Below are 8,267 nucleotides of genomic sequence, written 5' to 3' on the forward strand. Positions count from 1 at the left end.
AGGACATTCTGACTGGTGCAGCTTGGGTCACAGGTCCGTCCCTGGAACAAAAGTGAGCAAAGTCCTTGACTAAAATGCCATCAAGCACACCCAATGCAGGGTAGGAGTTTCTCAAGAAGAACTGAGCAATACTGTCAGAAAAAAAGAGGCAGGGAGGCTGAAGCAACAATCGTCTCCCACCACGCACAGCGCTCGACGTCACTCCTAGTGCCTAGAAAGAGGCAATGCTGAAGTAGGGCACTTACAATACAGTCAGTCCTCATTATTCACGAGTTCCGTATTTGTGAGTTTGCCTGCTCAAGTTTGCTTGCTCACCAAAATGCATTTGCAACTCCAAAATCAATACTGTGGGTGCTTTTGAGGTCATTCACAGACATGGGCAGGGTGGTGAAAAATTCGAGTTGCCTGCCACTTACCCAGCTGCAGTGGTACAAGGTAGCACTCTGCCTTCTTGCTTCAGCTCCTCTGCTGTAAAGGAAGTGTCCTTTTCACCGTCTATTTCATACCACTCAATGTTTGTGATTTTGGTAGAGATTTCACTGTGGCCCCCAAGTGTAGTGCTGAAGTGCTTACTTGAGTCTAAGTCCAAGAAGGCTGTGATGTGCCTTACAGAGAATACTCATATGTGTATTAGAGAAGCCTCATTACAGAATGAGTTATGGTGCCGTTGACTGTGAGTTCCATGTTAATGAATCAATGATATGTATTCGATTAGGTGTCTTTAAACAGAAACACACATAAAGCAATGTTATGTATTGGTCTGTTTATGAAAATGTGACCAGAAGCTTGAAGGAACCTAACCCTGTATTTCTCCTGGGAGGAATAGATCAGTATTCATTAATTCAATGTTCAAGTAGCTTTATGGAATATAAGTGCTATGAATAATGAAAATTGACTGTATATATGTTTAGATTCTTGGTCTTTGGTTTTTCGCTTTCTATGCTATGTTTTCCTCAGATTTATAGTTATTTCATTTTACTTCAAACCAGCTCCGTCTCACAATTCTTGCACATTTATGAATTTATTGGCATTTAATTAAATGCCATGTCAACATCTTGAGGCTTCTCACCCTAGGGTAGGGAGAAGAAGAGTTGATTGGGGAGACAGGCATAGTCTTCCTCAGAGTGAGTGTCTTCCTATCAGGTTTAAAAGATGACAATCTTTTTCCCATTTAAGGAAAGCAATCAGCTCAGCTCACACAAATGCTGCATTTCCCTTGCAAATGAGCTTCATTACCAGCTTGTTTTATGCTTTTCCTCTTAGCTAGAGTGAGCTTCTTTCTTATGGCTCTGTGTCATAGTAGAAAATGGTCTCAGCCCTGAATTATGTTCCCATCTATAGCCACATTTAATTATGGGTTTTGCCAGGAGAATGTGCTCTGAATGCTCTGTGCGTGAGCACTTCAGAAGGAGCTCTCTGCTCCTGTGAGACTTCTCTCAGGATTCTCCTGGATTTATAGAAAATATCCTTTCTACATATTTAACTTATCTTCAATGTTAAACCTATTAATTCCAGGCTTATAATTATTAAGAAGCATTAGCAAGTGGCTTGGCTTGAACTAAAATCAAAACCAAAGTGAGTCCAAAAGTCCCAATCTATGTAATTATTCCCTAATGGTACCATGTGACAATTATTAATACTCTATTCCAGGCATAGACCATTATACAAAATTACTTGTTTGCTTAGGGGGAAATTTTCCTACAATGGTATTGATAGAAAATTTTATTTTAAATACCAATATTTTCTATGTTCAAGCTATCTCATTCTATACTCATTATAAAAACAGGTAATAGGAATGTGTTAGTAATTTACAAAATAAGAAACACGGGTAGTCAATTAACATATAAAAGCATGACTGAGCTAGCCAGTGACAAAATAACATACAAATTTAAACAGGCTATAATTGTTTACCTATTAAGTGGATAAATACTGTTTATTAAGTAATATTAAACCAGTATTGATGGGTGTGCAGACAGACAGGCACACTCGGAAGTTGCCAGACAGCAAGGGGATGGGACATCCTCCTGCAGGGAATCAGGCAGTGTGCGTAAGCACTGTGAGTAATGTACATCTCCATACATTTATCCATGGGAATGGTCATCAGCCGTTTGGTTAAACAATTTTGGTCAAGGATATTCAATGAAGCATTGCTTTTATAGTAAAAATTTGGGAACACACTGCATGTATGATAATAAGGGAAGAGTGACTACATTTTGGCCTCTCCTTGTGACGGGATATTATACATCCACTAAAATTGCATTTTTGAACAATGGGTAAGTGCTAATTAAAACCACAGTGATCTTTACACATTGTATGAATGTATCACATTAGCACATATACCCTGAAAATATGAACAGTTATTATGTATCAATAATAAAAACACAGTGATATGTCATTTTACACCCATCAGACTGGTGAATATTTAAAAGCCTGAAAATCTTGTGTATTAATAGGAACTTGAAGCAACGAGAATTCTATACACTGCTTGTGGGAATAAATCTGTTACAACCACACAGAGCTCTGCTGAGTAGTAGCCAGTTAGATAGAAGACACACCTGCCCAAGAATCCCACTCCAGCTGTGTTCCCTGGAGAAACTGTCCCATGTATGTGGAGAAGGAAGACGAGTCCAGGAATGGTAGTGGCAAGGGTGTCTGCACCCGAACGAACATGGGGGACATTGAGCATGTGCATGAGCAGGGTGGTGGAAACGTTGCAACTCATTCATACAATGGCACACTGCACACCCGGGAGATGAATGGCCAGGACTGACACACCTCCACATGGATCCATCTCCCAAATAAAATAGTGGGAGACGAAAAGCACACTGAGGAAAAATATGTAGAATAAGACACCATTTAAGTTTAAAAATAATGCTGCATCTTGCTTAAGAATACAAATGTATGAGGGAAAGGTATAAAGAAATATTTAGGATGATCACCCAAATATAAAAAGAGGTTGCCTCTTAGTTGGGGAAACTGATGCCAGCTGGGAGGTGTGCACAAGGACCTTCAAATGTATTACAGTATTTTATTGCTTTGCTGGAGGGCAACTACAAGGATGTTCTCCCTCTCTTTTTGTAAGCGCTAAACAATGCAAAATATTTTTAAAAGAAGACATAGTGGTATGAGAAGATACAATATAACTGAAATAGGCAAGTACATTCAATAGAATTTCACATATGTGTATAAATGTACATATGTATACACACAAAAATATGTCCATAGCTATTACTTCTAGGCATTGGGCTTATTACTCATGTTCATTTTCTTTTTCTCACATTTATGCATTTCTGAGTTAAATATATTATTTCTATCACAAGGAAAAAAGTATTGAAATGTTTTTAATTTAAAACTCGTAGCCTCTTGGGCCCTTGATCAGTGTGTATTTAGTCAGACTCAGGTTAAATTGCAAGCTTCCGGGAGCTCTCAGCAGACGTGCTTCTAGGTCCGACTCTAATACTGTGGAAGCATTTAGAAAAGGCTCTTAGTGACAAGACACTATTCCCCTCTGAGACGAAAATAACCCTAGCGGTCAGGATTGGGGAGAGACACTTATTAGGAGTTATGTCTTAGAAAAGCCATTTATTGAGAGAGGGAAAAACTACATCTGGGGAAAGGAAAGAATGCTGATCTCAGTCATTTTAAATCCCTGCACACTTCCCCAGGAAGCTTCTAGAAATGGTTAATAGTTGGTGCTCTACGAACTGAAGGAAACCTTCAGAATGCTTTTCAACCTGGCTTTGTTTTTCTCTAGCACCTCTTCTTCAAAAAGTGTTCATTCACGACAGAGGGGTTAGAACAGAAAGGAGTGACTCAAAGCTGTTGAGGGTAGGAAAGGGCCTGGTATCCACCTTCTGAATATCATCGGATGTCAGGCATGGGAGTTTGGGGCAGTTTCGCACAGAGAGGCTGGGACTTAGGCAGACTGAGTGATCCCTTGTGTGCGCCTGTTCTGCACAGACCCTCCCTTCAGAATTCTGTTTTAGAATATGTAGGTCACACAAACAAGCAGAATAATAGGGTTCAGTTAGCTCTGCTTATAAACTGCAAAACATTTCCAGTGTGCTAAAAATGCCACGTGCATAATTGAGCGAGAGCTACTTTGTTTTCAAATCTGCTCTTGTGATATCTGAGACTCGGAGTCTGGGAAAACTGACAGTATTTTCCTCTCATTTGTCCAGGGTTTTCCCCAGTTCTTTTTGACCTGAGGTATACTCTCAGCCAGTGTGCCCAGGTAGTGGCTGCTGGGAACTTGGCAAACCATCACATTTGCCCATTCTGAACATCAAGGATGGGCAAAAGGTGGACACCTTGTGCTGTCTAGGGAGACTCGAGATGTCCAGTGTCCAGCTGAAGAACAAGATGGGGGAAACCCCAAGAATGAATGCTAGTGATGCTCTGATTTGTAAAATGTGATGCTATGTTTATTTGTCAATATTTTACTGAAGAGTAACAAATACAGATGATTGTGAAAATCATTAACATACATCTCAATACATTTTCAAAAGGTAGCAGCAGGTTTTAAATGAGGATATGTGTGGATAAGGCAGTGGCTCATCTTTCCTTTTGTCTTCAAGGGAAAACACAGGCTCCTTACAATCATGCCCACGCAGCCTGCACCAGAGGTGAAATCAAAGCAACACAGAGTATTGTACTGCATTTCAGTCCAGGAGGCTCAGTGCAGCCTCTACAAAATGTATCTGTGAAACGGTCCTCGGCAAATCCTTAGCCCCAAATGTCAAGCCAGCTGGAGCAGCCACTGCCTCCTGCAGACTCCAGGCTCTTGCAGGATAGCTCCTGCCCAGGCCCCTCGTCTCTGCTGCCTCACTCCATTTGGACCCTGGCTTGGCGAGCTGTAGGAGAGAGAGGGATGGTGAGAGAGGAGATCTGATTTGTGTGCTGCCACTGCTCAGGGATGGCGAGGAGAGGAGTAGTGGTGGAGGAGCCAGCAGGGAACACCACCTGCTCATTCCTTCCCTTGCTGGACATCTCTGCAGCTCCTCTCTGGCTGCATTTCCCAATGTTCCTTCCGCATCCTTCTCTAGTGGCCTGGGCGAGTAGAGCCAAATGACAGTGTGGCTTCTGAGCCTGTGATGACAACCCTGGGGGACGATGTTGAAGGCGGCAAGGATTTCACTTCTTTTCATTCCCTAATGCAGGCTTTGGATGAAGAGAAGTGGTTGGAAGGAGGGAAGTGGAGCATCATGAATGGCTGGACAAATGAACACAGCACCTGCCATGTGCCAGCCCTCAGATTGCTGCAGAGGGCACCTGAAGCATGATTTTGCCTTACCTTAAAATGTCACCTGTAACAGATCTACGAGTCCTCTGCCTTATCCTCTCGGTCCCAGGCCCACAAAGACTCTCCATAGCCCCTGCTGCGAGGGCTGCCTCGAGGTGCACACTCATGGCCAAGGACTGACAGTTATGAGGGCATAAACCCTGCAGCTTTCCTGCCCCCTGATCAGACACCTGTGGGCATAAGCCTCACTGTCCAGAGCTCCCCGTGGGATTGAGTGGGCATAACCCTGCCTGGGTCTTTGTTGATATTGCAGCTGGTTGGGCTTTCATCCCTCCTCACTCCCCAACAGTGGGGTTTTCTTGTCAATGCTCTCTAAGAAACTCCTTTGAGATGTCGCCTCAGGGTCCACTTCTGAGGAAACCCAGACTAAGACAGTGCTATTTTGATTCCTCATAAATATTTTCAATCCTCCAATTTTGATTCATGAAACTCAGAAAATGAATCTTAAGTAAATGTCTGCTATTGTCACATCCCATGTGATCTCTAGTTTTACTTTCTTAAGGATTTTCATGGAAACCCTGCCTCGAGGCAGAATTACAAGACGAGTGATATTGAAAAGGAGACAATCTATTATCCACATGACTGTTTTAACCAAATTACCTTCTAAGTTGTGACACAGGGTCCCTCAAAATTTGAGAAAGAATTTGAGTTCTTGTCATCTGTATTAGTTCACCGAGAATGAATCCTCAAATGATAAATGAAGGGGTAAGAAGATGTGTACAAATGCAAGGCTGCCCTCTGAGCCCCACAGGGTGGTGTCTGCCCTGTACCAAGAGACCCCCTCACCAGGGCCTGCCTCTGCAGCCCCTGTGATCACCTAGCAAATCCACCATCCCCCACCACAGACTGTCTTTATTAGATAGAAGTGAAGGCGCAGCAGAGGGGAGCAGGTCTTTCTCCAGCCACTGCACGCATATGTGATCTTTGACCTCATCCCCTGTGCCACCCTGAAGCTCAAGAGAGGCCCAGATGCCATTGATTTTCATGTGCTGATGTCGCTTTGGTACAACAGTGCCCTCGATATATACAATTCATGATTTAAAAAAAAAATCAAGGCTAAATTTATAAGATGAATTTGCCTAACTCTCTGGTTTTTTAAAGCATATTACAGTACTTTTATTGTTGCCAGGAAAGCTGTTGACTTAGGCTTCCTGGTGATGCCATGGAGGTGGGTGAGTTCGTCCAGAGAAGGTAAAAGCTATAAGAGTTCATTCTTTTGAGCTTTTATACTTAACGCTCTGTGATGTAAAATTTGTAGCAAATTCCCTGTACGTGTTTTTCTTCAGAGTACATGTGACACATTTCCTGATACCTGCTAAAAGTTGATTTTTAACAGAGTAAAACATTTTGGAAGAAGGTAGCATGGAGTGTCGTGTAAAACTGCACTCTAGACATCCACACCTGCTGCTCTGAGGTGTGTATTCTATTTGATTATTGAAGTAGGGTGGAGGTGTTTGTTAAATATTTGGAGACATGTGATGCTTAGGATGTGTTTGTTTTGTTTTTACATATATCCCTGTTTTACAAGGCAAAAAGATTTTTTAGTATCTCCAAATTATTGTTTTTCTCCATTCTCTTCACCCAATTTCTTTTTCCACTACTTTTTTTCATTTAATCCTGCCCGTAATCTGATATACGGACCACCAAATCATCTCCATTGCAAATCACCTGAGCTCGCTGACTTTCCAGCCAACATATGGACAGCCACTTGCCCCTTTTACCCCCCACACACATGGTGACGGGGCCATTGTTTTATGGCCCAGTTCTGGAGGACATTTCCTCAGTCATCATTCCACAGGCTTTCAACGGGTCTCTGAGAAATATGCTCATCTTCTGGAAGGATAATTTTTTTTTCTCTTGTGATAGCCTGAACATCAGTCTTTGGATAGTAATTGTTGTGATTTTTATGATTAACATATCTGGCAGCTCATCCCTTTATTCACTTGCTTATTATTCATGCAACAGGCCTTTATGAGTTTGCTGCATATCATTATTAGACTTTACAAATGGCTGCCAAAAATGACCAGAAATCTTGGGGGATGACAGCACCAAATAGCTCATAGGAAAAGAATAGGAAGTGTGAATTGATCACCTTCCTAACACTTAGGGGTAAACCAGAGAGTTAGCCAAAGAAAAGAAGAAATGAAGATAAACCTAGAATCGCATCCCTCTTCAGATTTGATATACAAGAGACCCTCTTAGCCCATCTCCACCCAACAGGCCAGCTGGACCAATCATCCCTCATGATTTATTGCCCTGGAAAACACACAGACTCAGGCCCAGCATTGGGCTTGTGGCTGGAGGGGCCCCTCCAGGAGACCTAGGTCTGTCTGACCCTGCTTGTTGAATCATATGTGTCCCATAAGCAAGTTGTGTTCATTCCCAACTCATTTATGTCCTTTCTTAAAATCGTTCTTTTTCTTATTTATTTATTTATTTATTTATTTATTTATTTATTTGAGACGCGGAGTCTCACTCTGTCGCCCAGGCTGCAGTGCAATGACATGATCTTGGCTCATTGCAACCTCCACCTCTCAGGTTCAAGTGATTCTCGTGCCTTAGCCTCCTAGTAGCTGGGACTACAGGTGCCTGCCACCATGCCTGGCTAATTGTTTTTGTATTTTTAGTAAGAGACTGGGATTCTCCATGTTGGCCAGGCTGATCTTGAACTCCTGACCTCAAGTGATCTGCCTGCCTTGGCCTCCCAAGGTGCTAGGATTACAGGCATGAGCCACCACACCTGGCCTTAAAATTGTTCTTAAATGTTAACTTATTCTTAACATTGCATAATTTGCTTAAACATCTCAACTTATGAAATAGGAGATCAAAAGAAAAGAGAAAAGTTGCTTGAATAAAAAGTAAGTCGAATGCTTTGGAAAGAATCATTAGCACTAACCTCAATAATCCACAATTAACTTACATTTATAACACATTGCATACAGACACAGTTCGTAATAATAAAAGA

The sequence above is a fragment of the Homo sapiens genome, chromosome 2, assembly GCF_000001405.40.
Source record: "Homo sapiens chromosome 2, GRCh38.p14 Primary Assembly".
Taxonomy (NCBI): Eukaryota; Metazoa; Chordata; class Mammalia; order Primates; family Hominidae; genus Homo; species Homo sapiens.